The sequence below is a fragment of the Homo sapiens genome, chromosome 9 (genome assembly GCF_000001405.40).
Source record: "Homo sapiens chromosome 9, GRCh38.p14 Primary Assembly".
Lineage (NCBI taxonomy): Eukaryota > Metazoa > Chordata > Mammalia > Primates > Hominidae > Homo > Homo sapiens.
The window spans coordinates 32,104,376-32,126,811 of record NC_000009.12 but is presented as its reverse complement, the minus strand read 5'-3'; positions in this window follow the sequence as shown (position 1 = coordinate 32,126,811).

Below are 22,436 nucleotides of genomic sequence, written 5' to 3'. Positions count from 1 at the left end.
CATCTTGCATTGTAGCCATAATTCCCACGTGCTGTGGGAGGAACCTGGTGGGAGATAATCGAATAATAGAGGCAGTTTCACCCATATTGTTCTCATGGTAGTGAATAAGTCTCACGAGGCCTGATGATTTTATGAAGGGTTTCCCCTGTTGCTTAGCTCTTATTTTCTCTCTTGCCTGCTGCCATGTAAGATATGCCTTTCACCTTCCACTATGATGTGAGGCCTCCCCAGCCACGTGGAACTGTGAGTCCATTAAACCTCTTTTTCTTTATAAATTACCCAGTCTTAGGTATGTCTTTATCAGGAGCTTGAAAACGGACTACTACGCACACGTTAATTATATAATTAAAATTCATGGCAATAATAACTCAAGACACAGAGATTGGCTGGGCGCGGTGGCTCACGCCTGCAATGCCAGCACTTTGAGAGGGTGAGGCGGGAGGATTACAAGGTCAGGAGATTGAGACCATCCTGGCTAACACGGTGAAACCCCATCTCTACTAAAAATACAAAAAGTTATCCGGGAGTGGTGGCAGGCCCCTGCAGTCCCAGCTACTCAGAAGGCTGAGGCAGGAGAATGGCGTGTACCCGGGAGGCGGAGCTTGCAGTGAGCCGAGATCATGCCAGGGCACTCCAGCCCGGGCGACAGAGCGAGACTCCATCTCAAAAAAAAAAAAAAAAAAAAAAAAAAAACCCACAGAAATTTAGTGTTCTAAGGTCATAAGTTTGTCAGGCAAGTGAGATAAGTACTAATATATATTAGACCATAATAAGTCAAAGAAACTTGTTTTAATCCCAAAGATATCATTAAAAATAATAAATAAACAAGCTAATAAAGGAGGAGACCAAAATATAAAAATACTTGATTATTTTCAAAAAAGATAAGAAAAGAGAAAAAAGAAGCAAAGGACCTCTAAAAGAAATATAACATGGTAGATTTCAATTAAAAGACATTGATACTAACATTAAATGAAGAAGACTAAATATTCCAATTGAAAGGCCAAGATTATCAGTGGATAAAAAGGAAAAACATACCTATAATTCTTCTTAGAAGACACATAACTTAAATGTGAGCAAGTAGTACAAGTTGGAGTTAAAAGGTTGGAGAACCTGATATACAACGCAAATTCTGCCTGCTTTTATTTTCCCCACTCCAACCAAACCAAACCAAAACAAAAAGCTGGTGAGGCCAGATTAATATAATATCATTCAATAGAATTAAAGGCAAGGTAAATAAACAGATTCATTGCATATGGGTCATTTCACCTGAAAGATGTAAAACTCTAAATTTGTTTTCACCTAATTATATGGCTTTATGATGTATAAACAAACACTAACAGACAAAGTGAAATGGAAAAATTCACAATCATAGAGGAAGGCTATATAACCTATGTCTCTTAGTAATGGGTGGAATGAATAGGCAAAATTTAGTAAAGAAGGCTTGAACAAAATGATTAACAATTGTGAGGAACTGAAATACATGAAGGCTAGTTCATGTCAGATACAACTCCCAAAGTCAGTCTTTTGAAGTGCACATGGAAAATTTACTAAAATTAAACTATATATTGGTTCATAAAGCAAGTCACAACACATTTTGAATAACTAGAAATTATGTCAAGGATGTTTTCTGACCACAGTGGAATTAAAGATAGAATGTGATAACAAAAAGAAAAATATAAAATTCCCAGATGTTTTGGAATTAAGCAATATCATTCAATATAACTTATGGGAAGAGAAGAAAGTCATCATGTAAATTTAAAATATTTTTAACGAGTTTAATAGTTTGTCTACATTTTTTACTTTTCTGTAGGACCATGTCTCACTGTACTGCCCAGGCTGGTCTTAAACTCCTGATCTCAAGCAATCCTCCAAAGTGCTGGGATTATAGAAGTAAGCCACTGTGCCTGGCCTACTTTATCTATAGTTTTAAGAAAGATTTTCTAGGTGTAAAATCATGCCATTTGAAAATCACAGCAGTTTTATTTGTTTTTTCCCTTTTTGAACTTAATTTATTCTGTATTTATTTTTCTTGCTGCTAGCGCAATGTGAAAGAGTATTGTAGGCAGGTATCTTTGACTATTTCCTGATCTTAAGGGGAAAGTTTTCAATATTTCACCATTAAATGTAATGTTTGTATGTAATTTTTTTTTAAGAGTCTCTATCCATTGCCTGGGCTGGAAGGCAATGGTGCATAGCTCACTGCAACCTTGAACTCCTGACTTCATGAATCCTCTCACTTGGCCTCCCAAAGTGCTGGCATTATGAGTGTGAGCTACCACATATGGTTGTAAATTTTACTTTTAAAAAAAATTTTTTTTATTATACTTTAACTTCTAGGGTACATGTGCACAATGTGCAGGTTTGTTACATATGTATACATGTGCCATGTTGGTGTGCTGCACCCACTAACTTGTCATTTACATTAGGTGTATCTCCTAATGCTATCCCTCCCCCCTCCCCACACCCCACAACAGGCCCCGGTGTGTGATGTTCCCCTCCCTGTGTCCGAGTGTTCTCATTGTTCAACATGCGGTGTTTGGTTTTTTGTCCTTGCGACAGTTTGCTGAGAATGATGGTTTCCAGCTTCATCTCTGTCCCTACAAAGGACATGAACTCATCATTTTTTATGGCTGCATAGTATTCCATGGTGTATATGTGCCACGTTTTCTTAATCCAGTCTATCATTGTTGGACATTTGGGTTAGTTCCAAGTCTTTGCTATTGTGAGTAGTGCCGCAATAAACATATGTGTGCATGTGTCTTTATAGCAGCATGATTTATAATCCTTTGGGAATATACCCAGTAATGGGATGGCTGGGTCAAATGGTATTTCTAGTTCTAGATCCCTGAGGAATCGCCACACTCTCTTCCACTATAGTTGAACTAGTTTACAGTCCCACCAACAGTGTAAAAGTGTTAGTATTTTTCCACATCCTCTCCAGCACCTGTTGTTTCCTGACTTTTTAATGATCACCATTCTAACTGGTGTGAGATGACATCTCATTGTGGTTTTGATTTGAATTTCTCTGATGGCCAGTGATGATGAGCATTTTTTCATGTGTCTTTTGGCTGCATAAATGTCTTCTTTTGAGAAGTGTCTGTTCATATCCTTCGCCCACTTTTCGATGGGGTTGTTTGTTTTTTTCTTGTAAATTTGTTTGAGTTCTTTGTAGAATCTGGATATTAGCCCTTTGTCAGATGAGTAGATTGCAAAAATTTTCTCCCATTCTCTAGGTTGCCTGTTCACTCTGATGGTAGTTTCTTTTGCTGTGCAGAAGCTCTTTAGTTTCATTAGATCCCATTTGTCAATTTTGGCTTTTGTTGCCATTGCTTTTGGTGTTTTAGATATGAAGTACTTGCCCATGCCTATGTCCTGAATGGTATTGCCTAGGTTTTCTTCTAGGGTTTTTTTGGTTTTAGGTCTAACATTTAAGTCTTTAATCCATGTTGAATTAATTTTTGTATACGGTGTAAGGAAGGGTCCAGTTTCAGCTTTCTACAGTTTTCCATGGATAGGAAGAATAAATATCGTGAAAATGGCCATACTGCCCAAGGTAATTTATAGATTCAATGCCATCCCCATCAAGCTACCAATGACTTTCTTCACAGAATTGGAAAAAACTACTTTAAAGTTCATATGGAACCAAAAAAGAGCCCGCATTGCTAAGTCAATCCTATGCCGAAAGAACAAAGCTGGAGGCATCACGCTACCTGACTTCAAACTATACTACAAGGCTACAGTAACCAAAACAGGATGGTACTGTTACCGAAACAGAGATATAGACCAATGGAACAGAACAGAGCCCTCAGAAATAATACCACACATCTACAACTATCTGAACTTTGACAAACCTGACAAAAACAAGAAGTAGGGAAAGGATTCCCTATTTAACAAATGGTGCTGGTAAATTTTACTTTCATATGAACTTCAGGATCAGCTTCTCAGAAAGCTAAAATATAGCCAAATCTTGAAAGAAGCAGAAACCTGGAAGACTTACACTATCAGAAACCAAACATTGTAAAGCTGCAGCAATTAAGGCAGTATACTATTAGACAAAGATAGAGGGACCAAAAGGATAGAGTCTAGAAATAGATTCAGACATATATGATCACTTGATTTTATGACAAAAATGATGCTGCAGTTTGGTAGAAAAAGGATGGCTTTTCAATCAATGGTGCTTGGTATTTGAATATCCATGTGAGGAAAAAATGATTCCTGATCCCTGCTTTGTAATATAAATAAAAATCAATTTCTAATACATTGGATTGTAAGTCTAAATGTTACAAGTAGAACAGAAGAATGTAACCTTGCAGTAGGTGGGTTTTAAAAAAAAACAAGATATAAAAGCACTAATTATAAATGAAAGCTTCAAATATCAGACTTCATTAAATTAAGTATTGTTGTTCATCCAAGTGTTATATTAAGAAAGTGAAAAATCACAGACTGGGAGAAGACATCTGTAGTACATATATCTGACAAAAGTCTTGTATCCAGAATATATAAAGAACTCCTACAACTCAAAGGGAAAGAAAGATAGACAACCCAAACTGTCTCAAATATATACAAAAAGATATCCAAATAGTCAACAAACAAACAATAATGTGCTCCACCTTATTGCTTTTCAGGGAAATGGAAGTTAAGACTTCAATGTTGAAATGAGATTCTATAATACATTAACCAGAATGGCTAAAATGAAAGACTGATAATATTAAAAGTTGATGAGGATGTGGAGCTACTGGAGCTCTCATACACTGCTGCTAGGGAGTTTAAAATGGTAGAACCACTTTGCATAACATTATGTAATAAAACTGAATACTCTTTCCATTTGATCCAACAATTTCACTCCTAGATAGATAACCAAGAGGAACAAATGCATACACATGTGCACCAAAAAGATTTACACGAATCTTCATAACAGCATTTGTTAATAGCTTCAAACTGGAAACACCTGAAAGTCATTTCACAGTTACAGAGATAAATAACTGTTGGTATACTCATACAATAAAATAACCTACGGGACTAAGAATAAATGAGCTAACTGCTACATATAACAAAAGAATTGAAGCTTACGAGCTTAATATTGATGGATGAAAGCCAATAAATATATATTGCACAATTCTAGAGTTCAAAAATGTACAAAATTTACCTATGATGATGGATAATGGTTACTTCTGGTGGAACTGCTAATGACCTGGATGCTGGAGAGAGTGGGCTTCTTGGGTGCTGGTGTATTCTGTGTTTTGATCTCGATAGTGATTACATGGATGTGTTCAGTTTGTAAATCTCTTTAACTTCGATAAAACATTTAAAAAACTCATTAGATTCTAGATAACAGTGTGACATAATTTATCTTTAATATTATCAAAGGAAAGGTCAAATCTAAACTGAAGATTCATAATGGAAATATTAGCTGCCTCCAGTCTTACCTTTAAATAAAATATATGAAATGTCTTTGAATGTGAGGCAATAAATTAGATTAAAATATATAGTCACATTGCAATTAAAAATCGGAAGATTAACCATCTATGCACAGTATAAATCAGGGTAGAGAGATTATTTGAAGAAAAACAATCTAGACATAATGAACCTTGAGATAGTAAAATGTCAGAAGTGGTTACAGGCCTAGATTTAGATATCTGTGAAATATATGGAATGACAGTCTTTATTCCAAATTGAGAACAGAACTGCTTAGTGACTGCTTAGTTTCTTTTATGGTTTTAAATATGAGGGTTTTTATTTTATTTTATTTTTTTGAGACGGAGTCTTGCTCTGTCACCCAGGCTGTAGTGCAGTGGCTTGATCTTGGCTCACTGCAACCTCCGCCTCCCAGGTTCAAGTGATTCTCCTGCCTCAGCCTCCCAAGTACCTGGGATTACAGGCACCCACCACCATGCACGACTAATTTTTTTTGTATTTTTAGTAGAGAAGAGGTTTCACCATGTTGGCCAGGCTGGTTTTGAACTCTTGACCTCAAGTGATCCACCCGCCTCAGCCTCTCAAAGTGCTGCACAAGGTATTCTCACAGTTAAGATGGATTGAACATATGCATGTTTAAGCTAATTTTTGGGTAGTAATCTGGCAAAATATTTCCCCTGTATATATCGGGTGGGAAAATGCAAGGAATGCCTAAAGCTTTTTCCAGAAACAGTAGGCCGTGTGTTGTGTCTTCACAGCCCTGTGGTGGAGTGATTGATTTCTAAGTGAAGGTCTTTGGCAATCTCACCAACAGACAGTTAGTGATTACCCATCAATGCTAGTAAAATTAAAAAATAAATGGTATCAGATATTTTACTAAGAGAATCCACTAAAGTGTTATGGTTAAAAATACTGCAGAGACATAAAGAATTTTTATTCCTTGCAAATGTAAATACCAATAGTTTTTAATATAAGTCTGTGAAGATGTTTTGTAGCAGATGAAAATAGTCTTTTGGTATTTTGTAATTATGAGAAGCTATAATGCTCGTCTATTCATCTCTGAAGGGACCAAAAGAGAGAAAGAGAGATTGAGAGACTCGGTAAAGTGTGTGCATCACTGCTTTTCTCTGTCTAGGGGAAAAATGCAAAGGCAATTCCTACTTTTCTTGGAAAGCCTTTAAAAATGGGAAAGAAAGATGAGAGAGACAATCTCATTTTTTTAAGACCACAAAGACTACTGAAGATCATTTTATTTAAGCAATTGTCTTAGCATCCCTTTTGCTATGACTGATTTCAAGGCTCCCGCTTTCCCTCATCCGTACTGCCAACCTTCCTGACTAGTCACTGTAAGCTCCCACCTAAATCTTGGAAGAGTCTTTTAAAGATTCTGCTTATTTCTGCTTTACCCCTCACCAACCCTTTCTTCACTCCAGACCCTAAGTGATTATTTTAATGCAAAATATCATCATGGAATTCCCTTGCTTAATACTCTTGAGCAAAGTCTCATTGCATAGAGGAGGGCAAATGCACAGGTCTGTGGGATGTGGTCCCTGCCAACTTCCCCAGCCTCATCTCACAGTGCTCTCCCCTTCTCATGCAGCTCCAGCCACAGCAAACTTCTTCCAGTTTCTGATAAGCTCCCTGTTCTTTCTTGTCCCAGGGAATGTGCTCAGTCCTGGGGCCATCTACCTCCCCCACCTTTTCTTCTCATCCAGTCTAAATCAGGTCTCTCCAAACCCTTTACTTTTCCATTATAACACATAATATGTGCATTCCTGTGTTTATTTATTTCAAATATATCTATCCCTGTACACTACAAACTTCATGAGGCATAGGAATATAATTATTTTGGTTTTCATTATATTTCTACTATCTAAGACAGTGACTGGCATATAGCAAGTGTTCAATAGATGTTAGTTACATAAACTAATAAATTTGATACAAACATGAATCAGAAAGTAAAATTACTGGTTGTATCTTGTTATCTGTTCATTTAGGGTTTTAATTCAAATTTATTTGTAATAAAAAAGTTTCATTCTGTTTCTTCTCCATTTAACTCCTATGGTTTAGAATTCTGAAGGTAGAAGAAAGGTAAATATCATTAAGTTTAAATTTTTCATTTTATTGATAAGAAAAATGAGACTTGGAAGAGGCCAGGAGATACTGACTAGTTTGGGCCTATCCCATGCCAATTATCTTGTGAAATTTAGTCAATGCTGTTTATCCATGAGAATCTACTTGAATTCTTGTGAGAGACAAGGATAATTACAGAAGAAGTTTTTCGTATTTTAGTATTACATTTATTCTGTTAAATACAATGTGTATAGGGAACAAATTAACCTTTGTTTATTCAGACATATAGCAAAGCATTATGCCTTAAAAACATTGTTTTATAGCAGACAAAATATTTAGAAGGTAAACACTTCTCACAGTCATACAGTTCTAGGCTTTTAGACAAGCTCTGTTTTCATTAATTAATTCAACCTGAACATTACCAATTAAATCAGACAGTTTCTCTCCAGATGCTTTCCAATTTGTCTTTGATTGATGTTTTAATTATACCTTTAAAAAATTTCCCTAATACTTTAGGTAACGTTTCTCCATTTCCTTTAAAATGTGCCATTTTTATTGTAGAGTTTTAGAGCCACAACACAAAGAATAGGATTGTCTTCCCAAACTTTGGAATGCTGACATCAGGGTATCTGGACCAGAAGCTGGAGGGCTCAGGGTCCTCCTTCTTCCAGATGAAAAACAGCACCTAATCCCAGCATCCTCCAGAACCTGATGCTTTCTTCCCTTATTGGATCCTGTAGCATCCCGTGCCCTCTCTACACCTGTGGACATGCTACCCCATCTGCTCGCAGCATCATTTTTGTCCACTCCATTTTGCAAAGCTAAATCTTACTCATGTTTTTAGTCAGAGGATAGTTATCATATTGCCCTGATGATGGTGTGGCTCCTTAGGGACACTCTGCAAATACATTCTCAGAGCTCTCATACTTCACCATCACAGTTGTTATCAAACTGCACTGCAATAAATCAGCCACTTCTCTGTGTGCCACAAGAAGTCAGAGTTTTACTGAGGGCATAGTCTTGAGTGTTTTGCTCATTCAACACTTAACACAGTTCTCCTGATATTGCCCAATAAACATTTGTTGAATGAAGAAACTGGCATTTAACACCGTCATTTAAAAAGAGCATGGAATGCCAAAATTCATTATATATTTTATAGAAATAAATATCCTACAGATGAATATGATACCAGCATTCTTTAAAAAAAAATACTGTTAAAAGGGCAGCAATCACAACAACATTCACTAACATCTGTTAGTAGGACCTAACAACTCACAGAACTTACAGTTGTTACTAATATCAATTTGAAGTTGTAAGGTAAAATGTATTCTTTTAGATCAGACTAATAAAAATATAAGACCATAGTATAAATTAGTTTTAGATTTACATACCTATGATATTCTTTAACTTTTTTCTAATTATTAATGATAGCTACAGGAAAATTTGGAAAGCATTAACTCACTGGCATTTTAATACTCACTTCTCTCCTCTCTTGGCCACAATTGATTGGTACAGGTGTGTCTTACAATCATTTCTTTTTTATATCTGTGATGTGTATTATAATGAGCAGGACCATATATTTAAGTTTTCCCTTATTGTCTTGGAATAATTATTTATAGTGTTCCCTTTTTACTCTCAAAAGTGTCCTTACTTGAATGACAAATTATGTGGTCATTCTAATTATGCAATCAAAATCAGAACCAAAAGAAGAAGCTGAATTATTTACTTTGTATTTTTACTACATTTTTCTTTGCTGATAACAGATGTGGGATGTGGATTCAATTGCTGGATGGAAGAAAATGATATCTTCTCATGCCAATAGCATGAACCATCCAATGCTTTAAATGCTTTAAGAAGAGACAAGGACAGTAGAAAGGGCTGGTTGTTTGCTCCGGGCTAGTGTCTGACTAGATCAGAGGTAAGTGACCATGGCCTCACACGACACACTTCTGGCATCTTGCACATCCATGAGAGAGTGTGAGGGAGGCTAAGAGGAAGAATAATTGATTGAGGGCATAATATACTCTGTGCCAGTCATCCACCATGGACTGGGGCCTTTGCATTAATCACCTCATTCAATTTTTCCAACAACTCTCTGAGGTAGATACATTCACATCAGATTTACAGATTAGGAAACTGAGGATTATCCAGCTGATGCAAATTTCCAGTGCCAATGGCCACATACATTAGCAAACTCACATTTGAACACTTATGTTACTACCTTGGGATGTGCATGTGGAGAGAAGATGGGTGCTACTGGTGGGTAAGTTATCATGTGAAAGATATTTGCCAATGTTTTTTTCCCCCCAAAGCTAAGTGTGCTAGGTGCAGAAATGTGCTTCAAGTTTGCTTTCATTAGAATTTTGAATTCCCTCAAGAATGAACATTTTTTTTTCCCCTAAAAGGTACCTGCTGGCCCCTGGCTTCCTCTTCAGACTAATCTCACTCCTACACACACCTCACTCTATATTCCAGCCACCCTGGAGCTCTCTTCATCCCTGGAGCCAAACATGACCTGTCTACGCCACAGGCTTGCCCATGTTGTTTCCTCCGTGAGGAAGTCTCTTCTACAGCCTCAGCTTGTGTCTCTATCGGTCCCTCCCTGAGTTATAGCTTCCCCAGCAAGGTCTCCTTGGGCTTTTCAGACCAGAGCAGTCCCTTTGTCACGTCCTACTATAGCATCATATTTCCCTTTTGGTAAGGTGCATCACATTGTGACTTCTTACAAACTTCACAGTGGCAATGGTGATATATGTACAAAACGCCGCTGAACTGCCAGTGCCCAGCACAGACCCTGGCACCGGTATGCACTCCTCATGTCCTTGGAAGTGTTAAATATTAATATTCAGTCCGCATGTAATATTTTGCCCACTGGAATCTGTTTCAAATTGTTTTATCTGACTACACCTTCATGTCTAAAGTGTAACCGAACACATTTTATAAAAAAGCATTAAACAATATGTTCATGAAAACAAACAGAAAAAAAAATTCTTTGGCTATATTTGTTGAACAGAACTTGCATGTATCTGAGTCCATGAAGATTATAAAAATAAAAATAAATGCATATGCCTTTCTATTATAATGGAATTGCTTTGTTTTATTTGCAAGAATGTTCACCACAAGCTTAATTAGTACTCTTTAGACCAAAGAAATAATGCCTGACATGATTCACCTTCTATCAGGAGTAAAATTTAAAAGAAAAATGTCAGGTGTGAAGACTTGGAAGCACTCAGAATGTATCAATTATTTATATTAACATTCATTATCTGACTAAAAGGCAGGATAAAGGCTTTGGGGGAATGGTAGGGTTCACATAATTTCTCTCTAATTATTCTAATTTACTATAATTAAGACACTAAAATAATCTTGAGAGAAACAATAATGTCTTAATATCAACCCAGAGAGGAAAAAGCTATTTCTGCATTTTTATCTTTATTTACTATAACTTTTTAATGCGACAGAAAGACTGATCTTGTGTAAAAGTTTTTAAAATTATGGCTTTTAGAACTTCTAACATGAAACTCAAAATTCTAACAGTTAAGTCTATAAAGTGTTTATAAATTCATAAAATCGATCACATCTATATTATATATGAACTCTATGAAGATCATGGCTTTTAGAAAAAGGGCACCTTTAATATACATTCTTAGGATTTCAAGAGTGGTAAAAAATACACAGAAAAGTATGAATTAGATATGCTCTCTGGGGAAGTCATTTCCTGATGGTAAAAAGACTTCGGAAGGCAGAATCACAACAACAGACATAAAGTATGATATTTATTATTTAATAAACCCACAAGAACTATGAAAGTAATGCCATATCACATTTTCCTCATATAATTATAAGCCAATTTTGATTGCAGTTGGGTTGTTTTAGACTGAAAGAAACATTGTTTAAAATAAAAGTCCACACCATTATTACTAAATATAGGTTAAGCTACAACTCAAGCAGCTGCCTCTGGGGCTTGGGGATCTTGGAAATAAGGGAAAGACTTCAGGGGACTCAGCCAGGGGAGGATATTTAGCATGAAAATGTGACCAATTTCTGATATTCAAAGACCTTTCAAAAAAAGGTGAATTGAGAATTTATGTTAAATTCATGAGGTATTTTTACAACTTCTACTCCTATGAATAGTGTTAATTCCTAGCAAGCCAGAGAAAAGCTACATTTCTTATCTTTCCCTTCTTAGATTATTCAAAGCAATATCAGATAGAACAATGTTTACTTTTCAAATTTTTGTCACTGCAAAACACACTCACTGTATCAGGTGTTCCCTATCCCTGGGCCACAGACTGGTATTGGTCCATGGTCTGTTAGGAACTGGGGATCTAGGATCCCTCATGGGAGGAATCTAGGTTGTGTGCTTCTTATGAGAATCTAACTAAAGCCTGATGCTTTCAAGTTGAACAGTTTCATCCTGAAACCACTCCCCGCCATCCTACTCCCCTCCACCTTGTCCGTCTGTGCAAAAAATTGTCTTCCACGAAATCAGTCCCTCGTGCCAAAAAGGCTGGGGACCGCTGCTCAGCATAAAGTGTATATAACATATAGTTTTGAGAATACCACTATACAATTAACACCAATATACACACCACCCAGTACTTTTGAAACCCTCCATAGGCTTCTTCAATCGTTCTCTCCCCTTCTGAGTAACTATTGTGTAGAATTTTGTGTATTCATTTATTTGCTTTTCTTTATCAGTTCACCAGAAAGGTAGGCAGCCATAGACAATATGTTGTTGAGGTGTGATTTCTGACCTTCAGAAGAATGGAAATATAATACGTACTTTGCAATTTGCTTTTTTTTTCACTCAACATGATGCTTCTGAGATTTATCTATGCTGACATGTAGTTTGATTTAATTCATTTTACTGAAGCCATTATATGAGTATATAAAGTTCCATTGAATAGCTTGTTAAAATTCTATTGTATACATTTCACCGAATGAATATAACACACTTTATTTGTTCATTTTACAGATGCTGAACATTTGAGCTGTTTCTAGGATTCTAGTTTCACAACAACGCAGCTATGACCACTAGGAACATTCCTGTACACGTCCCTGGGGCACATGTGATGGTTTTTCCAGGGTTTGTGGCTTTCTGTAGCCAGAAGCAGAATTTCTGGGTTGCTAGGTATACGCATGTTCACCTTTACTGTGTAATGCCAAATTGTTCCCCAAATTGTTTTTTAAACACTAATTCCCACATTAATTAGGTTGCTTAAGTGTTCCTATTGTTTTATATGCTTACCAATACTTGATAAACAATATATTTTCTTACTGTTGCAATGGACTGAACATTATCCAAAGAGAGGTAAAGTTTGCATATATTTTTGTTTAGGATAGATTAAAATTAGTGCCATATTTATTACAAGACATAGCTGTATTTTTTAATAGAGAGCTAGAACCATGCTTGAGTATAAAAGTATAAAAGTGCTCAGCCTATGGCACCAAGATGAGTCTATAAACATGCTAGGCATTGATTCAAAAGAAGAAAAATGGGCTAAGGTATATTATTGAGACAGCAAAATCTTTCTGCTGTTTGCATCTACACCCAAAATTTTAGACACTTGTTGGGGGGAGAACTTTTGCTTTATATATCAGAAATACTTTTAATTAAATGGGCTGATATCTTTAATAGAAACTGTATTTTAGCAGAATGATCTTATATATTTGGCTATTGAGAATGAAGGACACATATTGGAAAAGGGATATTTATGAACTGCCATCTATAAGTTGATGCTTTAGCCCTTCTCACATGATATATCTGTATCATGTGTGTGTATGTGTATATATGTGTCTGTGTGTGTATATATATTTACATGTATATATTTTTCTTCAGCTGATGAGATATATATATTTGTCAGATGAATTTATGTATGTATATATTTCATCACATTAAGAAAAAATACAAGAGTATTACTTCATACACAATAGATGAGGCATGTAATTAATTTGCCAGATCTGTAACAAGGAAATTGATAAATGCATAGTTTTATCAACTTCTAGCTTGGCATTTGGAATAACTTAAATATTAGCCCTAAATATTTGGTCAAGTTTTCCTACTTTGAGATAGAGGGCATAATTTGCAGTTGTCTAATAAATATGAGCTTTATATCTACTTCTTTAGCTTTATATATGGAAACATCATGTTATTGAGAATGAACAATCTATAGCACTCAAGATCTGCAACAGTTTTTGAATTATCAAGGAAATAAAACAATATTTACACCTTAGGCTGCATCAGAATTCATGTATTGTTACATTGAAAGACAAGTTATGATGGAACAAAATTTCAAATTGTTACTGCTAAGTATTATTATTGCTTTTAATTTTGGAGTTTTTGTAAATGATAATGAAAAATAAAACAATTGTGAATATTTTAATCATCAAACTGTTGTATGCTCTCTTTTATACATACATACTTAAATATAATTATATATTTTTAAAAATTGGGTTTGTAAAGTAGACACTGGTTTTGGCTTGCTTTCTTTTCATTTAATACATAAGGGGAATTTTTCCATATATGGAATAGCATGTGATATGAAACAAAACTGTCTGGATTCTATTCAAATGGGTGGAATAATTAAAGTTAAAAGGTGCTTTCTTATTAGATACTTAGCTTTTAAGATACCTTCTCAGGCCAGGGTTGCAGTGATGCTCTGATAAATTTTGTGGGCCCAAATCTTTAGCCACTATTTTAAAAAAGAAATTATTTTATACTCTGTTTCCTGGGTTTCCTGAGATGGTTGTAACAAATTACCACACACTGGGTGGCTTAAAACAACAAGAAATTATTCTCTCACAGTTCTGTTGTCCAGAAGTCCAAAATTAAGGGGTTGCCAAGGCCATGTTTCTTCTGAAGGCTCTGGGGGAAGATCTGCTTTTATCTTTCCAGCTTCTGGTGGCTGTTGTGTTTCTTGATTTCTTGACTTCTGAAAGCATCACACCAATCTCCACCTTCATAGTCACGTTGTCTCCTTCTCTTCTCTGTGTCTAATCTCCTTCTTCCTTATTCTTTTTTTTTTCTGAGACAGTCTCGCTCTGTCGCCCAGGCTGGAGTGCCTTATTCTTATAAGGATTACTGTAGCTGAATTTAGGACCAGATAATCCAGGATGACGTCGTCATCTGAAGATCCTTAGTGTAATTATATCTTTTGGGGCATAAAGGGAGTGAGAGAAAGAGAGTGAGACACGGCATTCTTATCACAAGACAAGCAGTGGGGTAGAGTATTTCATCAGGCTTCAGTATGGTCAGAAAACAATCTCACCTGAGACTAATCACTTTTGGTTCTAATATTCTGCTTATTTACAACTGTCTGATTTGGGTTCCCAGACAGTTCAGTGGCAGGAAAGGAGAGTTCTGGATGACAGACAGTAGCTTTAGTTTCTGAAAATGGATATATCATTCTACTGAGTGATAAAATTGTATCTTTGGGTGATTTAGGTGAAAGTTGACTTGTTACTGAGTTTCTAATCCTTTTAGATGTGTAAGAAAATGCATGTTGTACATTTGGGACACTAAGGACTCATCATATTTGGTTACTTACGATGTTCCTAGACACCTACTCCAGGATAATATTTATGTTTGTGGTAAATTTATGACAATTCTACTGCCTTCTGGTATTCACACTTTTTGTAATATAACTCTGTAGCTCCTCACATCAAGAAGTAGAGTATATTTTCTCATTCTTGGATCTGTACTTGTCTTGTGACTTATCTTGGGTAACAGAATGTGGTTGAAGTGACAGTAAGCCAGTTCCTTTTATGTTTCCATTCTTGATCTTGGAACCCAGACACTACCGTAAGTCCAGAATTTTCTTCTAGAAAGATGAGCATCATAAGGAGCAGTGCTGTCTTCCCAGGCAAGCCTTTCCTAGACTGACTTTGCTACAGCCAGTCTTCCAGCTGACCACGGATGCATGTATGAGCTGGGTCCCTGCAGGAGTGCCCAGCGGACCCATAGAGATATGACAGCATGAGAAATTATAATGGTTGTTGTTTTAAGCCTCCAAATTTTAGCAATTATAAATGTTTCATAAACATTCACGTGCAGGTTTTTGTGCAGGCATGTTTTCAACTCCTTTTGGTAAATACCAAGAAGTGCAATTGCCGAATCATATAGTAAGAACATATTTAATTTTGCAAGAAATCACCAAACTGTTTGCCACAATGGCTGTACCATTTTGTATTCCCACCAGCAATGAATGAGACTTTCTGTTGCTCCACATCCTTGCCAGCATTTGGTGTTGTCTGTGTTTTGGATGTTGGCCATTCTAATAGGTGTGTAGTAGGGTCTTATTGTTGTTTTAATTTCCCTGAAGACATACAGTGTGGAACATTCTTATCTTCTTATTTGCCATTTGTATATTTTTTTTGGTGACATGTCTATTAAAGTTTTTGGCCCATTTTTAAATTGGGTTGTTTGTGTTTTTATTATTAATTTTTAAGAGTTCTTTGTATATTTTAGATAACAGTCATTTTTCTGATGTGTCTTTTGTAAATATTTCTCCCAGTCTACTGCTTGTCATCTCATTCTCTTGATGAACACTTACCCTGGGGATGCAAGTTTAAGAATGCTATCAATTAAAGATATAAAATATTAATGGTACAGCATATTCTTTTCCTTTGCTAAACATATTTTAATAAGAGTATAATATCCAATTGGAGTACATATTGATAGAACTATATATGAGAGTAGTTTTTACAAAGATAAAATTGTCTTGTATAAAAACTCCCCTCTGGGACTAATATTCTCGACCACTGTTGGGTGTAAAATTCTCAAAATATCAAGCTGTGTTTTGGAAAGTCTTGCAGTAGCAAAAGCACATCATTGCAACTGATGCCCCCTTTGAGAGAAGTTCAGTATATCCTTTTAAATTCAGGGGTTCTCACATAGTAGATTGCAATCTATTTAACTACTGAATTTTATTTTTAGATTCGTAAGTGCCTTTCTGTAGCTATACCTCATGTTCATCTCTACATCTTAGGCTGGATCCCCAGGTCTGGGAGGCAGGGCCATAATATCATGTAGTGCCCTTTCCCAATTCACTGTACATGTGCTCAGTAACTCTGCTTTCTCTCACTGCTTAAATCCCACACAGTCAGAAAAATGAAAAGTTGTTTCTTCCCAGCACAGCAAAAGCCCATTCATCTTTAAAGGCCTATCACTAATGTTATCTCCTTCCAAGATTTTCTAAGAGCCCTTCCTAACCTCACAAGTCATGCTCATCTCTTCCCAGTGCTTGCATTGGAATGGATCCTCCATTTTCCTGGTTCCATATTGCAGATTTTCAGTTTCTCTATTTTAGCATCTGACTCAACCTACTCTACACTCTGCGTCTGTGTGAAGGAAGTTGCATTTTGAAGGGAGGACAGAGTGGCTGTTATTTTAAAAAATGCTGTGGCCCTTGGACAGAGCAAAAAAAGGCAGAGTTATCTCAGAGCTGTCACTTCCCTCAGATGTCCAGTCCTCAGCTTTGTAGGTGCAAGAGATCCATGATGTCAGAATCCCATGAGGGCTTGTTTCTGATAGGTGGCTTTGCAGTAACCCGACTGTCATAAAGAGCACTGTGTTAATTCATTATTTCTCAATGAAAACTGAGAAAGTCATCTAGAAAACAGAAAGTCATCTAGATCACAATGTTCTGAGCAATCTTAAGGGCACACTCCTCCCTGAATTAAAGTTCCAAAGACAGTGAGACTACCATCAGCTAAATATTGGCAATGAGTTGAAAACCTTGGTAACAAGTGACACCAGTTGATGATAAATGAATGACCCTTCCTCCACTCTGGGACTGCATCTGACTCAGGGCCACATTCTTTCACTTGTTGGGAGTAGTTTCTTTTCTCTAGGGCAGAACTAGGGAGGGGATATTACTAAATTCTACCTCAGTTGATCTTATTTTCTCATGGCTCCATACTAAATGAGTGCTTTCTGTTAATTTCTTTATTCTTTAGATAGTTTTTCTTTTGCTAAGTGATAGGGTTAGGCTTTGTGTCGTCATTCAAATCTCATCTTGAATTGTAATCCCCAGGTGTTTAGGGAGAGACCTGGTAGGAAGTGACTGGATTATGGGGGCAGTTTCCCCCATGCTGTTCTCGTGATAGTGAGTGAATTCTCATGAGATCTGATTGTTTTATAAATGGTAGTTTTTCTTGTGCTGACACATGCTGTCTTGCCTGCTGCCATGTAAGACGTGCCTGCTTCACCTGCTGCCATGTTTGTAAGTTTCCTGAGGCCTTCCCAGGCATATGGAACTGTGAGTCAAAACTTTTTCCTTTATACATTGCCCAGTCTTGGGTATTTCTTTATAGCAGTGTGAAAATGGACTGTTACACTAAGTTAATTTAAAAACATTATATAAAACTACAGGAAGAAGAGGAAAAATGGATTTTAAGTGTTCCTTTGTTAATTCTGAGAGTATCTCACCCTAAACCCTTTGCAAAAATTACACACATAGATTTTCCACTAATTGCATTACAAATTCCATAGGAAAGAATGCATTTTAAGCATCATCTTTGCATTGCCACATACATTTAGCAAAATGACTTACATACGGTAGGAACTCAAAATTTAATTTAAGAAGTTTTTTTTTGACTTATCTCTGAGCGAAAATAATGGATTGCTAAATGAAAACCAAACAAATTAGGAGTCATCATATCCAGAATTCTGTCATTTCCAAAAATATAATCATTGTATGTCTGCTTTTGGTTATTGTCTATTTGGGTAGCTATTTTGCAAAATTAAATGAAAAATATAGGTATAATTGTGTACTCTTGGTTTTGCTTTTTTCCATTCAATTATGTCAAAATGTTTTTAAACTGAGATAAATTTGTATAATTATAATTGTAATGGTTGTATAATATTCCATGGGGTGGAAATGCCATAATTTACATAACTATTCTTACATTATTAGACATTAAAATTGTTTCCAGCTTTCATTAATATAAAGAACACTGCAATGGATATCTTAATATTCAAAGAGTTTTATTTTTAGGTTATTACTTTGGGATATATATGCAAAAGTAAATTTGTGTGCAATCGAACTATGAAAGATTTAGGAAAGTAGTTGAAAATGACTTGAGAACTGGTTTCTCACAGTGAGAAGTTGTATGTGTAGGCCCTGGCAGACCTACTGCAGGAAGAAATAGAAGCTGGAAGCAGACAGACTGCTGACGGGATCCTCCCTTAGCTTAGCAGCATGGTATAAAATGCAGTGAGGTCTGTGACCTAGCTGGTTCTTGGCTCTATGAAGATGATATATGACCACCAAACTTCAGTCTTGCTTGTGTGAAAAACTCTAAAGACAAGAAATCTGCATACACTCACTCACTTGTATCATCAACTGATAATCTTTGCACCATTGTTTGCTGGTTTGAAAATGAATCAAGGAGAATACGTTTTGAATGAGGCCAAGACATTTTTTTTTTCCACCAGTCACGGATGTGGAGCAGGGTGTGTATCAGGCCCAGCTCAGGGTGCCGTTATGTGACAATGTGAGGATTGTGACAGCATTTGGAGAGGGTCCTAGTGATATCTGTATGCTATATTCAACCACAACTACCATTCCTACAAGGTCCCTGAGTGGAAGAGAGAGATGTACAAAGATGCAAAGAAAGGCAACACATTACTAGGGAGTTGGCTCTAAACCCCATCACAGTGCTGGTAATCCAGGCTGAGGTTTCCCTGACCCAAACTTCAAAAGAAATCTTGGAGCTACTGTTCCAGTCTGAGCAGACTTGAAGGCCTATTTGTTACTGTTTAAGCTGGATGTGATTAAAAAATAAATTAAGGTGTGCCAGGGCATCTGGCATTTTTCTCTATTACCTCTCTCCCTTTGAAAAATAAAACACTAACCGTACTAATCTTCAGAGTTACACAGCATCTCTCTCTATCTACATATATAGATATCTATATCTATCTACATATATAGATATCTATATCTATCTACATATATAGATATCTATATCTATCTACATATATAGATATCTATATCTATATCTGTATCTATATCTATATATCTCCATGGGTGTGGTATATTTCTGCAAAGTAACTTCAGCAAATAAATCTGCCTATGTGGAAAATGGTTGTGTATATATATATATATATATATATAGAGAGAGAGAGAGAGAGAGAGAGATCCGTATCTATATAGCGACATATATATAATGAATTATAATGAACTCACTGTCTTAATATCAACCCCTTTACTTAATAACTTGTAGACCTTTTTCTTTTTCAATTCTAATCTATGAGGTTGTACATTATCCTTCCAAGGGTTTCAAAATATTCTATTGAGAACCATGCTGATATATTTCTTTTGATTTATTTTGTTTCCCTAGAGTAATTCCTCAGAAAATGTTCTCAAAGAGTGAAGCGAATACTATATTTCATGAATTCTGATGTGTCTGAATGCCTTTCTTTTGCCACGTACATGGATAAAATTTGTCTGGGTATAAGCCCATGGCCACAATCCGTTTTTATCCAGAACTATGTAACATTGCTTTATTATTTTCTAGCATTAATCTTGCAGATGAGAAATGTGAAGACAGATTAATTCTCTTTCATTTGAAGACAACCTATTTCATTTTTCTTTATGGAAGCTTATGGGATTTCTTCTGTCATTGCAATTCAGAATTTTCCCTAGGATATGTCTAAATATGTACCTTCTATCAATATTTATGTTCTGCATTCAGAGGGGCCCTTTCTTCCTAAAGAGCCAAGCTCAGACATATTTCCTTTAATTATTTTATTTATTATTGTCTCTACTTCACATAGTTTGCCTTCTCATTCTGGAGATACTTTTAGGAGCATGGGCAGCATGGTCAGGGCTCTTGCTCTGGTGTTATGAAAGTCATTTCTATGTTCTGTTATTGGTCGTTCTAACCTCAGATGCGTCCTAGCCTCTGTGTTCCAGAGCTTCCAATCCCACAGAGAGGTAAAAAGAACCTTAAAAATGTCATTATGTCAAGTAGCAATAACTTTTTCGAAGAATTTTTAACGTACTATTTTATTTGATTAAATATGAGCTAAAAACAGTGATTAAATGTAACTGATAACTTCTTTCCCTTTTTGTATAATCAGGTGATTATTATTTCAATCAGTAATACCTAGGTTGTTCAGCTTCATGAACCATCTCCATGGGTGTGGCATATTTCTGCAAAGTAACTTCAGCAAATAAATCTGCCTATTTGGAAAATGGTTGTATTTCTAACACCGTCTAGTGATCAGATCACGCTGATTTTCTACATTAATATAATAATTTATATGTATGTCTATTTCAGAGAAGTCAGGATTATATCTTCTTAGATAAGTATCTCCCTTGGAGACTTTTTTGCTTTTGCTATTAGAAAAGAACACATTTATACATAGTCTGCATGGTAGTACCATTCAGGTCTTTTCCATGTACCTTAGATCAGTAATTCTCAACACTGTTCATTAGACTGTCCGGAGCACTTTTAAAAGTACCATTGCTCATGCCACGTCCCAGAACAATTCAGCTTGTGAATCTGGGGCCTGGGCTTCAGTACGTTTCAAAAGTTCCTCAGATTATTTTATTATGTATCTGAGTTTAGAACTACTGTCTTGGTAAAACAGGAAGAGGAATGATTCTACATTTGTGTGTCTGACTATCATTTGTTCTTGTGCATGGAACTGTTATGGTGGCTGTATATTGCAGAAAGGACATGAGGATAACATCAGCAGTGCTCTGTGCTATAGATCAAGCCAGTTTCAAAGGTTTGCAGCAGCCATGTAGAGCTATGCAGTGCAATGTAAAGCCATGCAGATACATGCAGAGCAATGGCCATGCACAGTTGTCAGACTGTGGCACATTGGAATTCAAAGATTATGTTTAGTATTTATTCACATATAAAAATATTTTATTCTAGGAAACAAATATGAAACACAATTTGAACTGTTACTTCCAAAAAATCATTGTAAGTATAAACTCTAAAATCTCATATCATAGTTTACTCATGCAAAGAATTTCTGCACTTAAAAAATTGCAAGTCTAAGTTGCTATGAGGACAGTATATAATATAGTTTTCTTTGAAAATATCTCACATTATAAAACTTCATAAAGTCACTGATATGACAGTGACTGATTTTATATTATAAACATTTCTAAAGAAATATGTTCAGATGATCCTTCATGTTGATAAGGCAATATATTTTGTCAGTTCTCCAAATAAGATCACATTTCAAATATTTATTACATGGTATAATACGAAATAGAAGCAACATATATATAATTCTCCTCTACTCCTTCCTCTCTCCCACTTTCTTTCCTCTTCCTTGTCTTCCCATAGAAGTAAAGGAGAAAATACTAAGTTGAAATCTGCAGACTTGATGTCTCAAGTATCACATTGTTGTCTTAGTAGTTAAAAGTTTCAAAGAACTGAAATATTTAGTTATTCTGGGGTGTCTAGGAATATATCTTATCAATGGGCATATATGTACACCTGGCTTGGAGTTGTTCATGCTGCTCATAGCATTACTGCTACTACTGTAACAGCTTCCACTCCTCCTCCTTCACTATTATTATCATCACTACTGGTAATAATAATAATAATGGAAATAGTAAAAATGTATGTTGTGCTTACTATTTGCAAGTCATTATTCCAAGCAGTTCACTCTCTTAATCACAGGAACAACCCTGTGTAGATGGGAACTATTCTTATCCTCATTTTACATACAAGGAAACAGACATAGAGAGGTTAATGACTTTGAAAATGTTGAGTGCAGGAGTTAGGATTCAAAACTGTGCTTTTCACTACTATATGCTACAATTAATTTATAATTAAGTCCATAACTATACTTAGAAATGTAAAATGAGATTTAAAGATCTTAGAAAACAGAGTGGAAAAATGTGCTCAGGACAAGGAACTTCAACCAAAATAAACGAAAGAACGAGTGCCCTGAGTTGTATTGGTTTAAATTTTCA